We start from the raw sequence: 25,338 nt of genomic DNA, 5'->3' as shown, positions 1-25,338 counted from the left end.
AGTCTAATAGAGGAAAAACCTGAGAGTGTTGAAAGAGAGAAGAGAGAATTACTGGAATGATACCCTTGAGTAGGTGACAAGGGTTGAGCTCCAGTGTACAGATGAAAGAACAGCTTTAGATAAGGGTATGGGTAATTCTGCTACAGAAACAGGAAGGCAGAGTGTGAGGACAGATGCTGGCAGGTGGCTAATGATGGCAGCAACTGTCTCTGTGTGTTTCTCATTTCCACAACTCGACACTAAGACTCTGACATCTTAATGGAGATCTTGAGGAACTGTGGACCACAAAAGTAACAATATTCTATAAATTTAAAATAGAGAGCTTTATTCCTAAAGGTACCAAAACCCGTAGGAGGAAGCGGAGCTTCCAGTGGACATGAAGACACAGTGCTTCAAGGGAGGGGTAAAAGGAACAGGAATTTATGCTGGATGGGGTACCCAAATAGATATATTTAATAAGCTATATGAGGCATCATGAATGTTTATGAAAGGAGAAACATGCATATGCACAATTGAGCTTTAGGCCTCTTCATGGATCGCAGGTTCAAAAAATAGCAGTGTCACCATGACCTAAGGGTGGAGTTTTTAGCTCTCTGATGTCAACATGTGAAGCAGAGGACAGGAAAACCCTCACTGTGCATCTTCCATAGATCAACCAGTACCCCCCCCATGGTTGAAGGTCTCTTGTTAAGAAGAAATGCTGGTCAGTTGTGGTACAGAAATTGCAAAACATCCAGTCATGGCCTGCGATGACTGGCTAACAGCAATAAAGGAATGAGTCATTCATTTCTTGTTTTCCAGAGCTGGTTTCTGCTTACTCCTTAGGAAAGAATTCTGGTTAAAGGTTAATAAGGAAGGGGTATACTGAGGCATAACCATCTTCCATTCTGCATGGCCAGTATCTCAGTGAACTTTTTCTTAGCTTTTAGGGTCTCCGAGGACAAGGGGAACTGGTTTAATCCAGTGAGGGGGTGTCAGGATTATTTCTCAGAATCGTGGCTCTAAAGGCTAATGTATTCTGTGCAGGAATAAAAAACTGATGCAGGTAGAGCTGCATTTCTGTAGACTGTGTTTCCTTTGGAAGAATGATCCTTGAGTAGTAATGGCTTCAAACTATGCCCTGCCAACCATCAGCTGCTTGTCCTTGTGGAGGTGTGCATATTCTGTCCAAGTAGTTACATCAGGAAGCAGACCTTGAAACAGGAGGAATGCTGGTGACATGATTTGGCTGTGTCTCCACCCAGATCTCATCTTGAATTGTAACTCCCACAGTTCCCACTTGTCATGGGAGGAGCCCAGTGGGAGATGATTGAATCACGGGGGGTGGGTCTTTCCTGCACTGTTCTCATGATAGTGAATGAGTCTTAGGAGATTCGATGCTTTTAAAAATGGCAGTTTCCCTGTGCAAGTTTTTTTTTGACTGCCACCATCCACGTAAGATGTGACTTGCCCCTCCTTGCCTTCCACCATGATTTCTTCAGACTCATATCTCACCACAGAAAGGAACACAGGCATATGAGAGACATAGAAAGAAAAATCTGGGTTGGGATCAGACTGAATATGAGAAGTAAGAGTAAGAGAGGACTCAGATCACCAAGGTTTTGTTTGAGTGTACCAGAACCCCTACTCTGGGTAGCTATGGTCTCTCTGATGTTAGTGTTTCTGATAGGAAAAGCACTTCAGATTTGTTTTGTTAAAATAGCTTTTTTCTTCTTTAGAGACAAGGTCTTGCTCCGTCACCCAGGCTGGAGTGCAGTGGTGTGATCTCAGCTCACTGCAACCTCTGCCTCCTGGGTTCAAGTGATTCTCCTGCCTCAGCCTCCCGAGTAGCTGGGATTACAGGCACACACCACCATGCCCGGCAAATTTTTGTATTTTATTAGAGACTGGGTTTCACCATGTTGGCCAGGCTGGTCTCGAACTCCTGACCTCAGGTGATCCACCCACCTCAGCCTCCCAAAGTGCTGGGATTACAGGCGTGAGCCACCAAGCCTGGCCTAAAATGTATGTACATATTTTTAACTATTGGGAAAATCTTCAGACACCAGGAAGCTGGTTGCTCCCTGACAGATAAAGTTACAGAGCTTTAATTTGGTCTGGGAAAACTTTGTTCCTTAGAGATTAAGCCACACATTGGGAATGTGTTGGGAGGAAAACCTTTTCTCCACCAACTTTACTGAGGGACTGTGGATTAAAAGTTAACTGACAATAGACTAACAGGAGAAAAGACAAAATTTATTCGCATGCTTGCAGCAACACACAAGCAAGTGGCTATCTGAATAGCGGGGGTAATGGTTTATATGGCTGAATAATGGTAATGGCTGAATAAAGAAAAGAGGGATTGGGCAGAAGATAGATTTTCTAGGGAAACAAATGAGACAGTTGGTAATAAAGTTTGTTCATACAATTTTCATCCCTGGAGGTAAAGGTCAGTGTCCTAGCTGGCTGAAAGGTCTCTGAGAGAGGAGATTTATGACAACTTCATTCTAAAAGCTCTGCCTTTATCAGATAAGGGAAGCTCAGAAAAGGCTTCTTTCTGCATCGCATCAGCTGTATTCCAAATGACTTCAAGTAGTCTTTATGCCATTTTGGTGGAACATTAGCCCTGTCAAATGCAACCCGTAAACTCTAGTGTTTTGGAGCTTCTGTCCCGATGCGTTAATTTCGTTCCATCATTCCTGCTACTCCTTTGACCTTAAAATCCCTCTTATCTCTTTTTATAAGGCCAATGCTTTTCAAGTGTTGGGCCTCACAAAATGCTAGTACTAATAAGGGAAATTATGAGGGGTTGCTAGTTTGTGGAAAAAATAAAGAATTTTATTTTAGATGAATTGAGTTTCAATTAAAGGTAAGAAATCTAAGTGCAAATGTCCACTTTTGTAAATAGAAAACAAAGACCTGAGCTTAGGAAAGAAACTGGAAATACAGATGCAGATTGGAAGGTCGTGGTCATAAGCTGAAAGGTGAAGGAGGTGACGATCCCAAGAGAGGAGATGGAACTAGAAGGCTCTGAACTGAGCCTTAGAGGAAGTTTACTTTTATACTGTGTGGGAAGGAAGAATCAGTGAGAGGATCGGAGAATGAAAGATGCAGTGTAGTCACATAAGAGGAAGCCTATGAGACTGTAGCCTCAAGAAAGCAGGGGAAATAGTTTCTAAATAGGAGAAGCCATGTTTGCAGTCATACCAACCTGAATGTGCCCATCTCATCTGATCTCAGAAGCTAACCAGGGTCAGGCCTGGTTAGTACTGGATGGGAGACCACCTAGGATTACCTGGTGCTATAGGCTTTTTTTTTTTAATTAATTTTTTTTTAGTTTAAAAAGGAGAGGACAGTCAATAATAGTCTAAGCTGTCTTAAATTGAAGGGGTCTGTCAATAAAAAGAAGTCCAAACGGCCGGGTGTGCTCGCTCACACCTGTAATCTTAGCACTTTGGGAGGCCAAGGCAGGCAGATCACCTGAGGTCAGGAGTTTGAGACTAGCCTGGTCAACATGGCAAACCCCTTCTCTACTAAAAATATGAAAAATTAGCCAGGTGTGGTGGCAGGCGCCTGTAATCCCAGCTACTTGGGAGGCTGAGGCAGGAGACTCGCTTGAACCGGGAGGCAGAGTTTGCAGTGAGCCGAGATTGAACCATTGCACTCCAGCCTGGGTGACAGAGAGAGAAAAAAAAAGGCGAAAGAAAGACACAGAAAGTGATACAGAACCCAGTCAGTTGAGCAGAAAGGAGCCAGAGTTACAATACGCAATTAATGTTGTAAAACAGGTTGCCTTTTTTTTTTTAAATGGGTAAGAGGGCATTTGATACACTAGGTTGCAAGAAAATGGGCAAACAACAGGAGGCCCATTACTGTAAGAAGGGGCTCAGGAACTGGCCCCAGGTTCAGAATCCCTGACAGAACCCAAATCTGTGGCACTCCTGCAGCTCCAAATTTTAGGCTGAATAAGATGGAAAGTCTGCTACTCTTGTTGAATAAGTGATTGTGAAACCGTGGAAATGTATATAAGGTAATAGTGTGGCTCAAATTTATAGAATGCTTATTTTTCATCAGTTTAGAGATATGTTTTGTAATTATTGTGAAAATCTATGTGTTTGTTGGTTATTTAAATGTTTAGGTAGATTGTGTTTTTTAGGTTTGAAAGTTTATTCTGTCAGATATTTGAAATATTTGAATAAAATGTGTAAAATACAAAAACATAGTTTAAAATATTTTAGGGGAATTTAGTCTTTTATTACTAATAACAAATTGCATATTAACCTAAGAACAAATCAAATTGTTCTTTATTTTTAAAATAATTGGATTTATAAATAGAAGAAGTTGAACTTAATAATAAAGTTTTATTTTAGAAGGGGCCAGGTGCAGTGGCTCATGCCTGTAATCCCAGCACTTTGGGAGGCCAAGATGGGCAGATCACTTGAGGTCATGAGTTGAAGACCAGCCTGGCCAACATGGCGAAGCCCCATCTCTACAGCAAGACTCTGTCTCAAAAAAAAGAAGAAAACATATGGAAAAAGTTTTATGACATTGGATTTAGCAAAGATTTCTTAAATATGACAGCCAAAACAGAAACAACAAAAGAAAATAAATAGAACTTCATCAAAATTAAGAACTTTTGTGCATCAAAGAACATCGTCAAGAGAATGAAAAGACAACCGATAGAACGGGAGAAAATATTTGCAAATCATATATCTGGTAAGGGATTAATATCTAGAATATATAAAGGACTCCTACAACTCAACAACCAAAAAGCAAACAACCCAATTAAAACATGGAAAAGTGTTCAGAAACGAAACAGACTTGAAAAGAGTTTTCTACAAACAACTATACAATGGCCAACAAGCACATGAAAAGATGCTCAACATTACTAGTCATTAGGGAAATGCAAACCCAAACTACAGTGAGATACCACTTCACACCCATTAGGATGGCTATTACGAAGAAAGAAAAATAAGAAGTGCTCATGAGGATGTGGAGAAATTAGAACCTTTGTGCATTGCTGGTGAGAATTTAACATGGTACAGCTGCTTCGGGAAACAGTTTGGCTGCTCCTCCCAATCTCAAGCAATCCTCCCGCCTCAGCCTCCCAAAGTGCTGGGATTACAGGCATGAGACACTGTGTCTGGTCTTATTCTGCTTTTTTTTTTTTTTTTTAGATGCCGTGTCGCTCTGTCACCAGGCTGGAGTACAATGGCACGATCTCGGCTCACTGCAATCTCAGCCTCCTGGGTTCAAATGACTCCCCTGCCTCAGCCTCCAGAGTAGTTGGGACTACAGGCGAGCACCACCTCACCTGGCTATTTTTTTGTATTTTAGTAGAGACGGGGTTTCACCATGTTGGCCAGGCTGGTCTCGATCTCCTGACCTAATGATCCGCCTCGGCCTCCCAAAGTGCTGGGATTATAGGCATAAGCCACCATGCCAGGCCCTTATTCTGCTTTTATGAGGTACCTAGAATAGTTGAGTTCATAAAGACAGACAGTAGAATAGTGATTACCAGGGGCGAGGGGGAAGGGTGGAATAGAGAGTTATTCTTTAATGAACACACAGATTCTGTTTGGAATTATAAAAAAGTTCGGGAGATGGATAATGGTGGTGGTTGTACAGCATTGTCAGTGTACTGAATATTACTGAATTGTACACTCAAAAATGGTTAAAATGGTAAATATTATGCTATGTGCATTTTACTACAACAGCAAAAAAATGAATTTTAAAGCTTTGTTTTAAAACGTACAATTTTAACAAACTGGATATTTATTTTAATACAAGTAATTGTAGGTAGGTATTTCCTTCCAAACTCAAGTCTTCCCTGGATGGTGACAATTGTCAGTTGACAGAACTGTAAACAGGTGCAGTTTGAAGTTGGGGTCTTTGCTGATTTTCCAGAGATCAGTTTAAGTTGTTTGAAGAGGGTAGAAGGTAGAAGTGACAGGCTAAGGAGAACGTGTGTGATGAGGAAGTTGAAGGCTTTGATTTTGATTGGCAGAAGTAGGCTGTAATTGGAAAAAATATTTAGGGTGAGTGGCAGTGTTTTAAATGTAACTTAATATCAAGGCTGGGCATGGTGGCTCACGCCTGTAATCCCAGCCCTTTGGGAGGCTGAGGCAGGAGGATCACTTAAGGTCAGTAGTTCAAGACTAGCCTGGCCAACATGGTGAGACCCCCATCTCCACTAAAAATACAAAAATTAGCCAGGTGTGGTGGCACATGCCTGTAGTCCCACCTACTTGGGAGGCTGAGGCCGGAGAATCGCTTGAATCTGGGAGGCAGAGGTTGTAGTGAACCGAGATCGCACCACTGCACTCCAATCTGGGTGATGGGAGTGAAACTCTGTCTCAAAAACAAAAACAAAAACGTAATATCTAAAGAGACAGAATTGGAAGAGATTGTAGATGGTGGAAAGGGGAGTAAGTGAGAGGAAGAAGTCCTGGGAGAAAGTAAGGGAAAACAGACGTTGGAATGAGGGATGCCTATTTCTCTAAGATGCCAAGGAGAAGAGAAAAAATATAAAGATATTTTAGAAGTAGAAAGGAGGAAAAACTGAAGAGATTACTTACAAATAACTTTGATCTCTATAAAGAAGGAGGTTGGAGGTTAATCGTCTTTGGATGAGGATGAGTCCCTAGAACATAAGCGTGTGCATGGCCTGTTTCCTCTGTCTCAAATGCTTTGCCCCCAGTCACCCATGCAGTTCATCTCCCATTTCCTTCAAGTCCTCTTCTCAGTGAGGCCAACTCTAGCACCATATCTTAACCTGCTCTCTGCAATCTGGAACCCCTTTAGTTTCTTCTTTTTCTCTTTTTCCATAGCTCTTATTACTGTCAAATATACGATATAATTTACCTACTGTATTTGTTTTCTGTCACCCCTCGCTAGAATGTAAGACCATAAGAACGGGGCGTTTTTGTCTTTTTTGTTTACTTAGAACGGTGCCTGCTGTTCAACAAATGTTTGTTAACAGATAAAAAGGAAAGTAGATGTTGAATGGAGGCAAGAAAAAAAGGAAAGATCATTTTTGGAAAACTTGTAGTAGAGCTGATATTTACTTGCTTCAAATCATACAGCTGTACTGGTTGTTAAAATATTGACACACTTCCCTATCAGTTGGCAAGTATCTGCTGCTCAGGTAACCTCAGCTTCTCCCCCAGGCCCTCAATCAGCAATGAAAGGGTAAATGCAAAACGTACCCGGGTCCTCTCTCAGACCCTGCTCTACAGCCATATCAATTTAAGGTTGATGCCTCTGTCATACTAGTTGTTAAAAATTTTGAATATTATCCCTGACATAGATGATTTTAAGGAATCAGTAAAAAATAACTAAATTACTGGGCATTACTGGGCAGATTATTGGGCAGCAGTATGGGCCCCATTGAAGTGAAAAGTGTGAATTTATAGAAAGCCATGTCAACCAAGTTTGCTGACTTCCTCCATCAAGTCATCAGCACAAAGAAAGTGACAATAAAGATGATTAAGAGAGAAGAGATGGGCATGAAAGTGGGGGTGGGAGGTGGGCTAGAGATTTTAGGTGATAAGAAGAAGCTTCTTTGAGATGGCTGATAATGGGATCTGGCTGAGGGTTCAATGTCATTCTCCTGATGACATTTAACTGGATGAATGGGTTAGATGACTTGGGAGGGCTCCAGTGATGACAGAATCCAGAGTGGTGGTCCCCTTACAACTGCCAGGGAGAACACATTTTCCTTTACCCTCTTAGATTCAATTTTTGGAGGCTTTCAAGTGAAACTGACAAAGAACAGATTAGCAAGAAAATAGATTGAATCATTTATGTACAGGACTACACATAAATTGGGACCTATATGCCATTTCAACAGGGAAGGGGAGGAGAAGAGTATTTATGGGAAAACAAATGACTTTCTGGAAAGACTTATGGACTTTTAGGAGAATAGATGGGACATATAATAGTTTTGTGACAATGCCTATTTAAGAGTGGTGTGGAGACTTGTGGCTCATACCTGTAATCCTAGCACTTTGGGAGGCTGAGGTGAGTAGATTGCTTGAGCTCAGGAGTTCGAGACCAGCCTGGGCAACATGGTGAAACCCCATCTCTACAAAAAATACAAAAATTAGCCAGGCATGGTAGCACATGGCTGTAGTCCTATCCTAGCTACCGGGGAGGCTGAGGTGGGAGGATCACTTGAACCTGGAGAGGTCAGGCTGCAGTGAGCCATGATCATGCCACTACACTCCAGCCCAGGTGACAGAGTGAGACCCTGTCTCACACACACATACACACACAAATAGAGTAGTGAATTTTGGAGCCCTTCACTACACAACTCATTTGAGCTTTGGGACAAAAAAAAAAAAAGACTCAACTTCAATTATTTTTGTTCCTGTTGTCATATGTCTGAGGACCTTGTCATTTCAATATTAAATTGAGACAATAGCTCTTTATCATAGATTGCCCTTAGTGTTATAGAAAATAGCATAATGATACAAGGCATACTGCCTGCCCTCAAGATGCTTATCATCTAGTGGGAGAGGCAACATTGATATTCTTCAAGCATGTCACTTGTAAGATCCTGTATTATAGATTATAAATATGATTCAATTTTAAATTCTATGAAACCAGTGTAAAATAGTGGGTCATAGGCAGAATCTGATAGACATCCACTGTTCTCTTGGATTTGATCACCAGTGTAATACTGCAGTTTCAGCTCTCCTAGAGAATTCTGCTTGCCAGTAAAAGTGCTACTTTGAGATTGTGTTGTAAAATGTTCAAGCCCACTTCAAATTTAAAGTATCTTACAATTATTATGATTAGTCAAATTATGCCAGCTCTTGACCACACCATTTTAAGTATCCTCTTTGGAAAGAGAAGCTCTGGTAATATATATCTTTTGGCCAAGTGGCAATTTTTATACCTTCCCTTTTACTTTTAAAGAGGTTTTTGTTTATTGTTTTTTTTTTTTTGGATGTTATTAGCTGTCTACACAGGATCTGTGTAACACACAGATCCTGCTTTGACTTCTACTCTAAATCGTGGAGTAAGTCTGTGTGATTTTAATTCAACCAGTGCCTGCTTTTCAGTCTAGACACACATTTGCCTGACAGTAACAGGTGATATCATCTCTATATGGGAATATGCTCTTGTTAAACACATTTGTGGTTGAAAGCACCATTTTTTAATGAGAGAAACCATGTAGAGAGAGCTCTGCTTGTATTATGGGGGGGAGTTGGGGAGGGAATGATATATTTCTTCCTTAGCTTATTATAATTAGAGATATTTGTGTGCAAATAGAATCTCTGTTGCTTAAGTGTTGCTCAGCTCCTGCTGATCTGTTCTCACTCACAGGCATAGTCCTTTGTGATATAATAGTTAGTTGCTGTGGAGATGATTATCCTGTCATGGAGAAAAGAGACTTATGAATTTAAATGAAGAATGAGCAGCAGGAGCAAAAGAACTATGCCAAAAGCCAAGCACTTCATCCAATTTAATTTTCTCTTGCATTTTTAATATATGTTATGTCATAAAGTTGGATGTATCCCCTTAAATAATACAGTTTCAGGGTTAATGATTAATAATGACAAAAGGCAAATTTGAAAGGAAAAGCAAAATATAATACTGACATCCTATACAGAGGCAAGAATGAGTTCAAGTTACAGAAAATTCAACAAGAATAAACATATACGATTGGACCATGCCCTATGGTTTAAATAAACAATGAAGTATTCGGACACTTCTACTGCAGTCATGATGAATTAATTGTTCGGGTAATTTAGGCATCATTCAACAAGTAGGAAGCAGAATGTTGAGATAGAAAGAGAATGGTCTATGTATCAAACAGCTGATTTGAATTCCTACTCTGCCATTTACAAGTCATTGTCTTAGGCAAGCTCTCAATGCTTCTGTTTCATCAATTATAAAACTGGGATAAATTTGTAGAGTTGTTTTCATCGCTATTTAACTGGTATGGACTCATATGGCCATGTCAGTCATGTACAGCCGATGACGTTCATTCATTGGTCATTGCATTCATTCTAATATGTTAGTGCCTGTTCTGTACTAGTTATTACATATTCCAAATATTATCTATGTTTGTCAGGACAGGATAGGCTATGCTGTTATAACAGACAAATTCTGAAATCTTAGTGGTTTAACACAATGAAATTATATTTTTCACTCTTGTAGATTCCAGTGTGGATCTGTCAGCTCATCTTCTCTTGTGGCTTCCAAGCCAAGATAATTATTGCAGGAGAAAAGAGGGATGGAGGAGGCATGTCAGCTTTTAACTTCTTTGGCTCCAGACACATGCTATTTCTACTCATAGTTCTTTGGTGGGAACTAGTTCCATGGTCCCCATCTATCTGCAAGTGAGGCTGGGAGATGCGGACATTTTGCAGTCATTGGTGAGCACTGTAACTGTCTCTGCCATATCACCCTTTGTTTTTGTGAGTATTAGATAAGATAAGGTAGATGAAGGATTTACAATTGTCTTTGATGAGTGACATTAGATAGAAAAGCTTGATCCAGGTTTAAGGCTTGGCATGAATAATGACACGGTTGAGATTTTCATTTTTACTTGAAACTAGCAAATAAGCAGAAGAAAGAATATTAATGAATTGATTAAAAATACAGGGTAATACATGTTGAATGTAGTGCTCCAGTGCCTCTACCTGCCTTGTTCCTTTTTTTCCCATTTACTAAGCATTTCTTTCTTTCTTTATTTTTTAATTAGTATTATACTTTAAGATTTAGGGTACATGTGTACAATGTGCAGGTTAGTTACATATGTATACATGTGCCATGCTGGTGCGCTGCACCCACTAACTCGTCATCTAGCATTAGGTATATCTCCCAGTGCTATCCCTCCCCTCTCCCCCCACCCCACAACAGTCCCCAGAGTGTGATGTTCCCCTTCCTGTGTCCATGTGTTCTCATTGTTCAATTCCCACCTATGAGTGAGAATATGCGGTGTTTGGTTTTTTGTTCTTGCGATAGTTTACTGAGAATGATGATTTCCAATTTCATCCATGTCCCTACAAAGGACATGAACTCATCATTTTTTATGGCTGCATAGTATTCCATGGTGTATATGTGCCACATTTTCTTAATCCAGTCTATCATTGTTGGACATTTGGGTTGGTTCCAAGTCTTTGCTATTGTGAATAATGCTGCAATAAACATACGTGTGCATGTGTCTTTATAGCAGCATGATTTTGTAGTCCTTTGGGTATATACCCAGTAATGGGATGGCTGGGTCAAATGGTATTTCTAGTTCTAGATCCCTGAGGAATCGCCACACTGACTTCCACAATGGTTGAACTAGTTTACAGTCCCACCAACAGTGTAAAAGTGTTCCTATTTCTCCATATCCTCTCTAGCACCTGTTGTTTCCTGACATTTTAATGATTGCCATTCTAACTGGTATGAGATGGTATCTCATTGTGGTTTTGATTTTCATTTCTCTGATGGCCAGTGATGGTGAGCATTTTTTCATGTGTTTTTTGGCTGCATAAATGTCTTCTTTTGAGAAGTGTCTGTTCATGTCCTTCACCCACTTTTTGATGGGGTTGTTTGATTTTTTCTTGTAAATTTGTTTGATTTCATTGTAGATTCTGGATATTAGCCCTTTGTCAGATGAGTAGGTTGTGAAAATTTTCTCCCATTTTGTAGGTTGCCTGTTCACTCTGATGGTAGTTTCTTTTGCTGTGCAGAAGCTCTTTAGTTTAATTAGATCCCATTTGTCAATTTTGGCTTTCGTTGCCATTGCTTTTGGTGTTTTAGACATGAAGTCCTTGCCCATGCCTATGTCCTGAATGGTAATGCCTAGGTTTTCTTCTAGGGTTTTTATGGTTTTAGGTCTAACGTTTAAGTCTTTAATCCATCTTGAATTGATTTTTGTATAAGGTATAAGGAAGGGATCCAGTTTCAGCTTTCTACATATGGCTAGCCAGTTTTCCCAGCACCATTTATTAAATAGGGAATCCTTTCCCCATTGCTTGTTTTTCTCAGGTTTGTCAAAGATCAGATAGTTGTAGATATGAGGCGTTATTTCTGAGGGCTCTGTTCTGTTCCATTGATCTATATCTCTGTTTTGGTACCAGTACCATGCTGTTTTGGTTACTGTAGCCTTGTAGTATAGTTTGAAGTCAGGTAGTGTGATGCCTCCAGCTTTGTTCTTTTGGCTTAGGATTGACTTGGCAATGCGGGCTCTTTTTTTGTTCCATATGAACTTTAAAGTAGTTTTTTCCAATTCTGTGAAGAAAGTCATTGGTAGCTTGATGGGGATGGCATTGAATCTGTAAATTACCTTGGGCAGTATGGCCATTTTCATGATATTGATTCTTCCTACCCATGAGCATGGAATGTTCTTCCATTTGTTTGTATCCTCTTTTATTTCCTTGAGCAGCGGTTTGTAGTTCTCCTTGAAGAGGTCCTTCACATCCCTTGTAAGTTGGATTCCTAGGTATTTTATTCTCTTTGAAGCAATTGTGAATGGGAGTTCACTCATGATTTGGCTCTCTGTTTGTCCGTTGTTATAAGAATGCTTGTGATTTTTGTACATTGATTTTGTATCCTGAGACTTTGCTGAAGTTGCTTATCAGCTTAAGGAGATTTTGGGCTGAGACAATGGGGTTTTCTAGATATACAATCATGTCATCTGCAAACAGGGACAATTTGACTTCCTCTTTTCCTAATCGAATACCCTTTATTTCCTTCTCCTGCCTAATTGCCCTGGCCAGAACTTCCAACACTATGTTGAATAGGAGTGGTGAGAGAAGGCATCCCTGTCTTGTGCCAGTTTTCAAAGGGAATGCTTCCAGTTTTTGCCCATTCAGTATGATATTGGCTGTGGGTTTGTCATAGATAGCTCTTATTATTTTGAAATACGTCCCATTAATACCTAATTTATTGAGAGTTTTTAGCATGAAGGGTTGTTGAATTTTGTCAAAGGCCTTTTCTGCATCTATTGAGATAATCATGTGGTTTTTGTCTTTGGTTCTGTTTATATGCTGGATTACATTTATTGATTTGCGTATATTGAACCAGCCTTGCATCCCAGGGATGAAGCCCACTTGATCATGGTGGATAAGCTTTTTGATGTGCTGCTGGGTTCGGTTTGCCAGTATTTTATTGAGGATTTTTGAATCAATGTTCATCAAGGATATTGGTCTAAAATTCTCTTTTTTGGTTGTGTCTCTTCCAGGCTTTGGTATCAGGATGATGATGGCCTCATAAAAAGAGTTAGAGAGGATTCCCTCTTTTTCTATTGATTGGAATAGTTTCAGAAGGAATGGTACCAGTTCCTCCTTGTACCTCTGGTAGAATTTGGCTGTGAATCCATCTGGTCCTGGACTCTTTTTGGTTGGTAAGCTATTGATTATTGCCACAATTTCAGATCCTGTTATTGGTCTATTCAGAGATTCAACTTCTTCCTGGTTTAGTCTTGGGAGAGTGTATGTGTCGAGGAATTTATCCATTTCCTCTAGATTTTCTAGTTTATTTGCATAGAGGTGTTTGTAGTATTCTCTGATGGTAGTTTGTATTTCTGTGGGATCGGTGGTGATATCCCCTTTATCATTTTTTATTGTGTCTATTTGATTCTTCTCTCTTTTTTTCTTTATTAGTCTTGCTAGCAGTCTATCAATTTTGTTGATCCTTTCAAAAAACCAGCTCCTGGATTCATTAATTTTTTGAAGGGTTTTTTGTGTCTCTATTTCCTTCAGTTCTGCTCTGATTTTAGTTATTTCTTGCCTTCTGCTAGCTTTTGAATGTGTTTGCTCTTGCTTTTCTAGTTCTTTTAATTGTGATATTAGGGTGTCAATTTTGGATCTTTCCTGCTTTCTCTTGTGGGCATTTAGTGCTATAAATTTCCCTCTACACACTGCTTTGAATGTGTCCCAGAGATTCTGGTATGTTGTGTCTTTGTTCTCGTTGGTTTCAAAGAACATCTTTATTTCTGCCTTCATTTCGTTATGTACCCAGTAGTCATTCAGGAGCAGGTTGTTCAGTTTCCATGTAGTTGAGCGGCTTTGAGTGAGATTCTTAATCCTGAGTTCTAGTTTGATTGCACTGTGGTCTGAGAGATAGTTGGTTATAATTTGTGTTCTTTTACATTTGCTGAGGAGTGCTTTACTTCCAACTATGTGGTCAATTTTGGAATAAGTGTGGTGTGGTGCTGAAAAAAATGTATATTCTGTTGATTTGGGGTAGAGAGTTCTGTAGATGTCTATTAGGTCTGCTTGGTGCAGAGCTGAGTTCAATTCCTGGGTATCCTTGTTGACTTTCTGTCTCATTGATCTGTCTAATGTTGACAGTGTGGTGTTAAAGTCTCCCATTATTAATGTGTGGGAGTCTAAGTCTCTTTGTAGGTCACTGAGGACTTGCTTTATGAATCTGGGTGCTCCTGTATTGGGTGCATATATATTTAGGATAGTTAGCTCTTCTTGTTGAATTGATCCCTTTACCATTATGTAATGGCCTTCTTTGTCTCTTTTGATCTTTGTTGGTTTAAAGTCTGTTTTATCAGAGACTAGGATTGCAACCCCTGCCTTTTTTTGTTTTCCATTTGCTTGGTAGATCTTCCTCCATCCTTTTATTTTGAGCCTATGTGTGTCTCTGCATGTGAGATGGGTTTCCTGAATACAGCACACTGATGGGTCTTGACTCTTTATCCAATTTGCCGGTCTGTGTCTTTTAATTGGAGCATTTAGTCCATTTACGTTTAAAGTTAATATTGTTATGTGTGAATTTGACCCTGTCATTATGATGTTAGCTGGTTATTTTGCTCGTTAGTTGATGCAGTTTCTTCCTAGTCTCGATGGTCTTTACATTTTGGCATGATTTTGCAGCGGCTGGTACCAGTTGTTCCTTTCCATGTTTAGTGCTTCCTTCAGGAGCTCTTTTAGGGCAGGCCTGGTGGTGACAAAATCTCTCAGCATTTGCTTGTCTGTAAAGTATTTTATTTCTCCTTCACTTATGAAGCTTAGTTTGGCTGGATATGAAATTCTGGGTTGAAAATTCTTTTCTTTAAGAATGTTGAATATTGGCCCCCACTCTCTTCTGGCTTGTAGAGTTTCTGCCGAGAGATCCGCTGTTAGTCTGATGGGCTTCCCTTTGAGGGTAACCCGAACTTTCTCTCTGGCTGCCCTTAACATTTTTTCCTTCATTTCAACTTTGGTGAATCTGACAATTATGTGTTTTGGAGTTGCTCTTCTCGAGGAGTATCTTTGTGGCATTCTCTGTATTTCCTGAATCTGAATGTTGGCCTGCCTTGCTAGATTGGGGAAGTTCTCCTGGATAATATCCTGCAGAGTGTTTTCCAACTTGGTTCCATTCTCCCCATCACTTTCAGGTACACCAATCAGACGTAGATTTGGTCTTTTCACATAGTCCCATATTTCTTGGAGGCTTTGCTCATTTCTTTTTATTCTTTTTTCTCTAAACTTCCCTTCTAGCTTCACTTCATTCATTTCATCTTCCATCGCTGATACCCTTTCTTCCAGTTGATCGCATCAGCTCCTGAGGCTTCTGCATTCTTCATGTAGTTCTTGAGCCTTGGTTTTCAGCTCCATCAGCTCCTTTAAGCACTTCTCTGTATTGGTTATTCTAGTTATACATTCTTTTAAATTTTTTTCAAAGTTTTCAACTTCTTTGCCTTTGGTTTGAATGTCCTCCTGTAGCTCGGAGTAATTTGATCGTCTGAAGACTTCTCTCAGCTCATCAAAGTCATTCTCCGTCCAGCTTTGTTCTGTTGCTGGTGAGGAACTGCGTTCCTTTGGAGGAGGAGAGGTGCTCTGCTTTTTAGAGTTTCCAGTTTTTCTGCTCTGTTTTTTCCCCATCTTTGTGGTTTCATCTACTTTTGGTCTTTGATGATGGTGATGTACAGATGGGTTTTTGGTGTGGATGTCCTTTCTGCTTGTTAGTTTTCCTTCTAACAGACAGGACCCTCAGCTGCAGGTCTGTTGGAGTACCCGGCTGTGTGAGGTGTCAGTGTGCCCCTGCTAGGGGGTGCCTCCCAGTTAGGCTGCTCGGGGGTCAGGGGTCAGGGACCCACTTGAGGAGGCAGTCTGCCCATTCTCAGATCTCCAGCTGCATGCTGGGAGAACCACTGCTCTCTTCAAAGCTGTCAGACAGGGACATTTAAGTCTGCAGAGGTTACTGCTGTCTTTTTGTTTGTCTGTGCCCTGCCCCCAGAGGTGGAGCCTACAGAGGCAGGCAGGCCTCCTTGAGCTGTGGTGGGCTCCACCCAGTTGGAGCTTCCCGGCTGCTTTGTTTACCTAAGCAAGCCTGGGCAATGGCGGGCGCCCCTCCCCTAGCCTCGCTGCCACCTTGCAGTTTGATCTCAGACTGCTGTGCTAGCAATCAGCGAGACTCCGTGGGCGTAGGACCCTCCCAGCCGGGTGCGGGATATAATCTCGTGGTGCGCCATTTTTTAAGCCCGTCGGAAAAGCGCAGTATTCGGGTGGGAGTGACCCGATTTTCCAGGTGCCATCTGTCACCCCTTTCTTTGACTAGGAAAGGGAACTCCCTGACCCCTTGCGCTTCCCGAGTGAGGCAATGCCTCGCCCTGCTTCGGCTCGCGCACGGTGCGCACACCCACTGACCCACGCCCACTGTCTGGCACTCCCTAGTGAGATGAACCCGGTACCTCTGATGGAAATGCAGAAATCACCCGTCTTTTGCATCTCTCACGCTGGGAGCCGTAGACCGGAGCTGTTCCTATTTGGCCATCTTGGCTCCTCCTCTACTGCCTTGTTCCTTATGGAAGCACATCTCAGATCAGCGCCTCAGCAGCCTATGGAGGAGAGGAATATACCAGGTCTGAGGAGCCCAGATCAGAGGCTTGCTGCCTTTCAACTATTTTAGGGCTGGATGGTGGTAGTACCGTGAGTGAAAGGGATATGTCGACATGCAAGAGTGTGCCCTATTACCATATAGAAATTTCTTTGCCTTGATATCTCAGTTAGGAAAAAAGAAAGAAAGAAAGAAATTTCTTGCTGAGTTATAGTTACCTATTACACAATTTATTCCTCAGTGCATCTTTGAGCCTGTGTGAAAAAGAATGTCCTCAGTTTATACTTTGTGTCTATGGTAGAATTATGCTGCATATTGTAGGGTATGCTATAGAAAAATAACACCTAATCTCTTCTCCTAAAGTGTTTATCATCTAAGGAGATGGAAGTCTCTATCAATAAACACATCGAAAAATAAATGGCAAAACTGTATGTATGAAACAAAGACAATTTTAAAACAGGGTAGAATAAAATAAGGTGTTGATTCTGAGGTACAAATGACCAAAACAAAAGAAATGAAAGAAGAGGAGGAGTACTAGGAAAGTTAGTAGAAGTCAGGCAGCATTAATTTCCCATGTACGGTTAAAGAATATTGTAGTTTAGGTTCAGGTACCACAGCCAAGAAGTGCAGAGATCACATTTAAAAACAGGACTAGTCTTGGAGGCTGAGAAAACTCCAGCTCAGTTGCTGTGGACAAGGTAACACCAGCAGTAGCCTGGGTGCTGTGGGAATGAAATGTGGATGAGATATGCCCTGGGGCATCTCAGCAATGTCAGAGGAAAACTGGGAAGGCACATTAAAAAGTGGGCAAAGGACATGAACAGACACTTTTTTAAAGAAGACATAAATGAGGCCAACAATCATATTAAAAAAAAAACCTCAGCATCACTGATCATTAGAGAAATTCTAATCAAAACCACAGTGAGATTTCATCTCACACCAGTCAGAATGACTATTATTAAAAAGTCAAAACATAACAGATGCTAGCGAGGTTGCGGGAAAAAAAGGAATGTTTATACACTGTTGGTGGGAGTATAAATTAGTTCAACCATTGTAGAAGACAGTGTGGCAATTCCTCAAAGACCTAAAAACAGAAATACCATTCGACCTAGCAATCCCATTACTGGGTATATACCCAAAGGAATATACATTGTTCTGTCATAAAGGCACACGCATGCATATGTTCATTGCAGCACCGTTCACAATAGCAAAGACATGGAAATCAACCTAAATGCCCATCAGTGGTAGACTGGATAAAGAAAATGTGGTACGTATACACCATGGACTACTATGCAGCCATAAAAAAGAACAAGATCATGTCCTTTGCAGGAACGTGAATGGAGCTGGAGGCCGTTACCCTAAATGAATTAACACAGGAACAGAAAACCAAATACCACATGTTCTCACTTATAAGTGGGAGCTAAATGATGAGAACACATGGACACGTACAGGGGAACAACACACAATGAGGTCTATTGGAGGGTGGAGTCTGGGAGGAGGGAGAGGATCGGGAAAAATAACTAATGAGTACTATGCTTATTACCCGGGTGATGAAGTAATCTGCCCAACAATCCCCCAAGGCGCACATTTACCTATTTAACAAACCTGCACATGTCTCCCTGAACTTAAAATAAAAGTTAAATTAAAAAAAAAGAGAAACTGGGAAGACAGAGCTAAGGGCTTGCCATTAACCAGCAAGGGGAAAATGAGAAAGAAAAATTGTGCAGTGTTGTATTCATATCAACAGGTTACAGAAATATTTAAATTAACTCTATAATTGTAATTGCTATCTGTATATAGCTTAAATCTTAATATTGTATATTATGAGCATTTTCCCATATTATGAAGTCATATTTAAAACATAATTCGTAATATACAGAAAATAATATCCCTCAAGTATTAGATTATATGCTAAATGTTTAGAAACTTACATTTTTCATTTAATTTTTGTAGTATTTATATAAAGTAGGTAAATTATCACTACCTTACAGATAAAAGCATATGAGGCTAGGAGATGTTAAAGTCATGCAGCGAGTATTTGACTGAGTCAGGTGAAACCTTAGACTGTCTGTTTGGAAAGCCTGTCCTCTGGCCATATTGCCTTTCATATTGTATATCATCATGTCAAGGTGCCACCAACTAATCAACGGATTCCCCTACTGTTGAATATTTAAGTTGTCTTAAAGTTTAAAAAAAAATTATCAATAGTCTGTGAACACTTAAGTAGATCACTTAACATTTAAATAGATCTTAAGTGTTTTCACCTTTTACATACACGAAAATGGTAACTGTGTGAGATGACGAATGCTTTCATTAACTTGTGTGATAACCATTTCACAATGTATATAAATATCTTTATCAAATCATAATGTATACATCAAATATGTACAATTTTGATGTGTCAGTTATATCTCAATAAAGCTGGAGGGAAATAAGCTAAGGTGAACATCCTTGCACATACATTTTGCATATATAAGATTTACATATATACTTACACATGAATTTCTTTAACATTGATGCTTTATTTAAAAAAACTTTTAGGTTGAGGGGCACATGTACAGGTTTGTTATACAGGTAACTTGTGGTCATGGGGGTCTGGTGTACTCATTATGTTGTTACCCAGGTAATAAACATAGTACCTGATAAGTAGTGTTTCTTTCGTTTCCTTCCTTCCTTCCTTCCTTCCTTCCTTCCTTCCTTCCTTCCCTACTTCCCTCCTTCCTTCCTTCCTTCCTTCTTCCTTCTTTCTTCCTTCCTTTCTCTTTCTTTCTTTCTTCTTTCCTTTCTTTCTTTTTTTTGAGACAGGGTCTTGCTCTGTTGCTCAGGCTGGGGTGTGGTGGCACAATCTCAGCTCACTGCAACCTTTGCCTCCTGGGCTCAAGTAATCCTCCCATCTCAGTTCCCCAAGTAGCTGGGACTACAGGTGCTCACCACCACACCCAGCTAATTTTTTGTAGATATGGGGTTTCACCATGTTGCCCAGGCTGATCTTGAACTCCTGGACACAAGAGATCCACCTGCGTTGGCCTCCCAAAGTGTTGGGATTACAAGCATCAGCCACTGCACCTGGCCCGATAGGTAGTTTTTCCATCCTCTCCCTCCTCACAACCTCCACCCTCCAGAAGGCCCCAGTGTCTGTTGTTCCCCTCCATGTGTCCATGTGCTCTCAGTGTTTAGCTTCCACTTATAAGTGAGAACATGTGGATTTTGGTTTCCTGTTCCTGTGTTAGTTCGCTAAGGGTGATAGCCTCCAGCTCCATCCATGTTGCTGCAAAGCGTGTAATCTCGTTCTTTTTATGGCTGCATAGTACTTCGTCGTATATATGTACCACATTTTCTTTATGCAGTCCACTGTTGATGGACATTTAGGTTGATTTCATGTCTTTGCTAGTGTAAATAGTGCTGCAATGAACATACATATGCATATGTCTTTATGGTAGAATAATTCCTGGGAGTGAAAATACTGGTCATCAAACAGTTTAAACGTTTTAAAGTTTTTGATAACATTAAACTTGCCAAATGAAAAGTTGTATCAACTACACTACAACCAATAGTGTATAAAAATGACTATTTCCCTGAAACCTCCTGCACAGTGGGTACGGTAACTTTAAAGTCTTTTTGGTCAGTCTAATGGCAAAACATCCAAAGCACAGAACACTAACAATTGCCTAGATTTGTGGTATTCTAGCAGCCCTTGGTGATCCTCGCTTAGCATTAGTCTTTAATACAGTAACAAATGTTATATTAATTAACTGTAATTCATTTGCATACTTAACATTAGCCCTTCTTGAACCATGAATGCAAACCTATATTATAAAAATTAAGTCCCTGAAATTTATTTAATTCAGGTCAGCAACATTGCTCAGCCAAAGATGATTACTCTGTCTATTGGGAGACTTTTGACTAAACTGTATTGGAAATTCCTTCTATAGAAGACGGAAAAAAAATCACTATCTTTTAACATCTTTGTAGACAGGAAGTCATCAGGTATCCTTGTGTTTTTGATCCTGGGTATGGGTTTATGTGTGGAAGGACAGAGTAGAAGACTGGAGTGCTATTGTATAGTATAAATGAAATTTCAGGAAATGAAGGAATGTGATGAAAAGTGAAATTTTTCTTAACAATAATAATTGCTAAGAAATGAATTTTTAAAATATTTTGTATACTGTTTTATGTTTTAGGAGAAATAAAAACCTTCCAGGACTCAGTAAATAATGTCTAGAAAATATGTATAGCTCACCATCTAACACATAAATAAGATTATTATCTGAAAAATAAGTATTTTCATGGAAGTATTAAAATTACTAATGACATGTTCTTTATAAGAAGCCTAAAATGCTACCTAATTTGTATCTGTTCAGCTGACTAAACTACAGAGTCAACAAGGAGGCTGCCTTAATTTCCAATTTCGGATAAAAATACCTGGGGTGTAAACATGTATAGTAAAATGAAAAGCAGTAGTGCTAAAAAAATCTCAGTATTAAGAGGATAGGCTTTTGAGTCAGAAAAAAATTGAGTTTATATCAAGTTCTGTCACTTCCTAGCTGTTTAAATTTGGGGGCAAGGGACAGTTGTTTAACCGTTTCTGCATCATTTCCCAAACTATAAAATAGGGATGCTTACATTCACCTTGTGCCCAAGTTGGAAGGGTTAAAGGAGAATATGTATTTGAAATGACTAGACATGTAGTTGGCTATTAAGTGTTACCTATTTCATTATTCAGCATGTTCTTGTTAGATAGACTAGTGACCCAGATCTGTAATTATTTAGCTACTATGGACTCATACTAATTTGACCTTATAGTAATTTAATTTGCTTAGTTATAATAAGCTGTCATTCTCACTGTGGGTACCATTAGGTGTGAAGTAAACAATCTGTAGCTCATTATTTTCAGCTAACAGTAATGCAAGCCAGACTCCAGGAGATGAATAAAAAAGATGAAGAGCAAAATGTCCAAGGGCACTAGAATATAAAATAACTCTTGAAGAATCTTGAGAAAATAAATTGTTTCAAGGTCGACATTTATTTGAAAATGAGATATAACATTAAACATGTGAAGGAAATTTTATGCTTTGAGTGGACATGGTTTAGTGCTAAAGTCTTTAATATAATTCATTTAACAGCCCTGTAATCTGTTAAATAGCCAAGTGATTTTATTTTTATGTATTTTAGGCAGCAAAATGAATAGCTCTTTAAGTGCTTTTTGATGCGTGAAGTAATACACTTTTTAATTGACACTAGTTAAGTATCCTTAATTTAGTAAAGTCTCTTCCCCATCTGTTGATGTTTTTTTCTCTGACAAAGCAGAATATGTTTGTGCATTGGTATCCATAGATATTATAATGACCTTTTATAAGTATCATGACAAAGGATTTGATAATAATATGTGAATAGGTAAATATGAAGATTTACATGAAATGTAGCAAGGTAAAAAGTTATCTTTATAAGTGGCACCAGAATTTATCTTAGAGAGGGAATTGTGTTACTTCAGAAAGGCATAGCATACTTTAATAGACTGCTTGGAGTGGAAGATGAGACTCTCGGGCCAGCAGGAGACACGGGCAAAAAAGGTAGCACAGTTGAGAGGATTCTGAAAAGATGGTAGAGTAGGGAGCACTAGAAATCTGTCTCTCCATGTAGAGAATAATTGCATTGGCAGTCTGTCTGATGTAACTATTTTGGAAATCTGGAGCTTATTAAAGAATTGCAACATCTAGGGGAAGGCTTGATGGTATATTGTGGTTAATTTGATTGGGTTTTTTCGTTTGTTGGTTTCTGAGACGGAGTTTCGCTCTTTTGCCCAGGCTGAAGTGAAGTGGCGCTATCTCAGCTCAGTGCAACCTCTGCCCCGCCGGGTTCAAGCAACTCTCCTGCCTCAGCCTCCCGAGTAGCTGGGATTACAGGCGTCTGCCACAACGCCCGGCTAATTTTTGTATTTTTAGTAGAGACGGGATTTTGCCATGTTGGCCAGGTTCGTCTCAAACTCCTCACCTCGGGTGATCCACCCGCCTTGGCCTCCAGAAGTGTTGGGTTTACAGGCGTGAGACACCGCGCTCGGCCAGTTAGGGTTAACATTAGCTCTTAGCATAGTAGCAGCTACCCATTCCCCACCGTTCAGCCCTGTGGCAGGCAACTGTGCCTGTGTATACAACTTATAGGAGCCACGGTGAGCAAAACAGAACCTGACCTCCAAATATTAGTAATCTGTGCTCTGATCACTGATTGCTGCTTCTCAACACAGGGATGCAGACAAAGAAGGCGGGGGCATTGTTTTGCACTTCTCCCTGTTATTGCAAGCCCCTCCTGCTGTGACTGAAGTGACTTCCAGGGAATTTAAAGAGATGATACGTTTTTATCCTCTTTCTTTCTTTTCTTTTCTTTTTTTTTTTTGTCCCTTTTAGGAGCCAGACATTGAAGAGTAGGACACTCGAAAGCAACTGCATATAAAAGGAGAAATTAGAAAGTCACCACAGATACCCAGGGTAAGGTGCAGGCTCAGAAAAGACCTGAGAAGACCTTAAGTTTACACCTTAGGCTGATTCTTGGCAAAGAAACATCCTACAGTAATAAATACAAAAACAAAACCCAGCAGACTCTGGGAAGAAGAATCTGATTTCCAGAGTTACCACATTAATAGATTCAAGCCTTCAGTTTCCAACAAATCGATACAAAGAAACAGGAAAGTATGGCACATAAAAGGAAAAAATAAGCAAATTAATAGAAACTATCCCTGGAAAAGACCTGATAATGGATCTACTAGACAAAGACTTTAAAAACAACTGTCTTAAAGGTGCTGAAAGAACTAAAGGAAGATGTGGAGAAGGTGATGAAAATGATGTATGAACATAGTAGAAATATCAGTACATTGATAGAAAACCTAAAAAGAAACCAAAAAGAAATTCTGGAGCTAAAAAGTACAGTGACTAAAATGAGAAATTTACTAGAGAGATTCAAAGGCAGATCTGAGGAGGCAGAAGGAAGAATGAGTGACTTCGAAGATAGGATAGTGGAAATTATCAACTATGAGAAACAGAAAAAAGATTGAAGAAAAGTAGAACAGAGCCTAAGGAACATGTGGGACACCATTAGGCAGACCAACATATGCCTTGTAGAAAGAGTGAAGGGCAGAGAGGATATTAATAATGGCTGAAACAGTCCCAAATTTGATGAAAGACATGAATATAAACATGTAGCAAACTCAACAAACTTCAAGTAGGATGAACTCAGAGATTCACATTGAAACACAGTATGATCAAACTGTTGAAAGTCAAAGAAAAACAGAGAATTTTGAAAGCAACAAGAGAGAAGTGACTCATTACAAATGAGTGATCCTCAAAAAAGATTATCAGCGGATTTCTCTTCAGAAACTTTGGAGGCTAGAAGGCCGTGGGCTGACATATTCAAAATGCTGAACAAAAAAAATAAAAATAAAAAACCAAAACTGTTAATCAAGAATCCTATATTTCTGAGTCAAGCAGATGGCTTGAGCCCAGGAGTCTGAGACCAGCCTGGCAACGTGGCAAAACCCTGTCTCTACAAAAAATACAAAAAACTAGCTGGGAATGGTGGCACATGCCTATAGTCTCAGCTACTTGGGAAGCTGAGGCAGGAGGATCTCTTGAGCCTAGGAGGTTAAGGGTGCAGTGAGCTGTGAGCATGCCACTGCACATTAGCCTGGACAACAGAGCGAGACCCTGTCTCAAAAAAAAAAAAAAAAGACAATACTAGTTGGAGACTTCAGTACCCGACTCACAATAATGGATAGGAAAATCTGACAGAAGATTACATTAGGAATTAGAGGACTTAAAAAAAACAATAAAGCAACTAGAACTCATAGTCATGTATAGAACACACTACCCAATAATAACAGAATACACATTCTTCTCAAGCCCATATGGGACATTTTCCAGGATAGACCATTTGTTAGGCCACAAATTAAGTCTCAATAGAATTTTAAAAGATAGATATCATACAAAATATCTTCTGTAGCCTTCTATATTTTCTTTGGCTTTTATTCAGCAAAATTGGTAAATTTATATTAAATTCAGAAGCTTACTGAACACATTTACTATAAGGCAAAATTACATTATTTAAGATAGATGCTGTATAATGAGACGCTTAACTTCTCAATCAATAATTTAATCATTTGGGTGAAGGGATATGCATACTGCTCATCCATAAGAATTGAAAGCATTTGGAATACTTTTTTCCTTTAGAAGTTACACTAATATCTTTTAAGCTTTTGGACCAAAAATATTAACATAGGAGCAATCAGAAATAATAGGCAGGTGCCCTATCTGGCATAAATATTTGGGGACTTGGGTCCTGTACATCCTGGCTCCTTTTGCTCCAATTGCTTATTTCTCTTGGAGTCACTTCTGTCGTCTCTCTGGTCCCAGTACCTCTAAATGGAGCTGTCTTACTCTCACAAAGCTTGCATTAATAGAATCTAGCTTTTGACGTAGGTTTCTGAGTATTTCACTCATTGCCTCTGGATGTTCCTCTCCCTGTCATCTGAGTTGAGCTGCCTTTCAGCTCCTCTGTCCTCCTTAGCTTGATAATCTATTTTTGATGTGCTTC

The 25,338-nt window shown here is 39.8% G+C and overlaps 1 long non-coding RNA gene and 1 pseudogene across 1 annotated transcript, besides 1 other annotated feature; one reads left to right on the top strand and one right to left on the bottom strand.

Annotated features, from left to right (window-relative positions):
• Positions 251 to 1,450: an enhancer, noted in NCBI's record as "CDK7 strongly-dependent group 2 enhancer chr1:184985922-184987121 (GRCh37/hg19 assembly coordinates)". NCBI's record gives its function as "activates an origin of replication core promoter dependent on BRD2, BRD4, P300/CBP, MED14 and CDK7 cofactors, with strong dependence on CDK7, by STARR-seq in HCT116 cells {active_cell/tissue: HCT116}" and the evidence as "EXISTENCE:reporter gene assay evidence [ECO:0000049][PMID:35650434]".
• On the top strand, positions 3,173 to 3,289 carry RNA5SP72 (RNA, 5S ribosomal pseudogene 72; annotated as a pseudogene).
• On the bottom strand, positions 9,562 to 16,713 carry LINC01633 (long intergenic non-protein coding RNA 1633). Its single transcript, NR_146489.1, has 2 exons — positions 16,613 to 16,713; positions 9,562 to 10,546 (listed from the first exon to the last, which is right to left on the bottom strand). It is a non-coding gene; the product is annotated as a long intergenic non-protein coding RNA 1633 (long non-coding RNA).
• Between the last annotated feature and the right edge of the window lie 8,625 nt (positions 16,714 to 25,338).

This window comes from Homo sapiens, chromosome 1 (assembly GCF_000001405.40).
Source record: "Homo sapiens chromosome 1, GRCh38.p14 Primary Assembly".
In the NCBI taxonomy this organism is placed as follows: domain Eukaryota; kingdom Metazoa; phylum Chordata; class Mammalia; order Primates; family Hominidae; genus Homo; species Homo sapiens.
The sequence above is the reverse complement of the archived record's forward strand: the minus strand, read 5'-3'. Positions and strand labels throughout refer to the sequence as shown.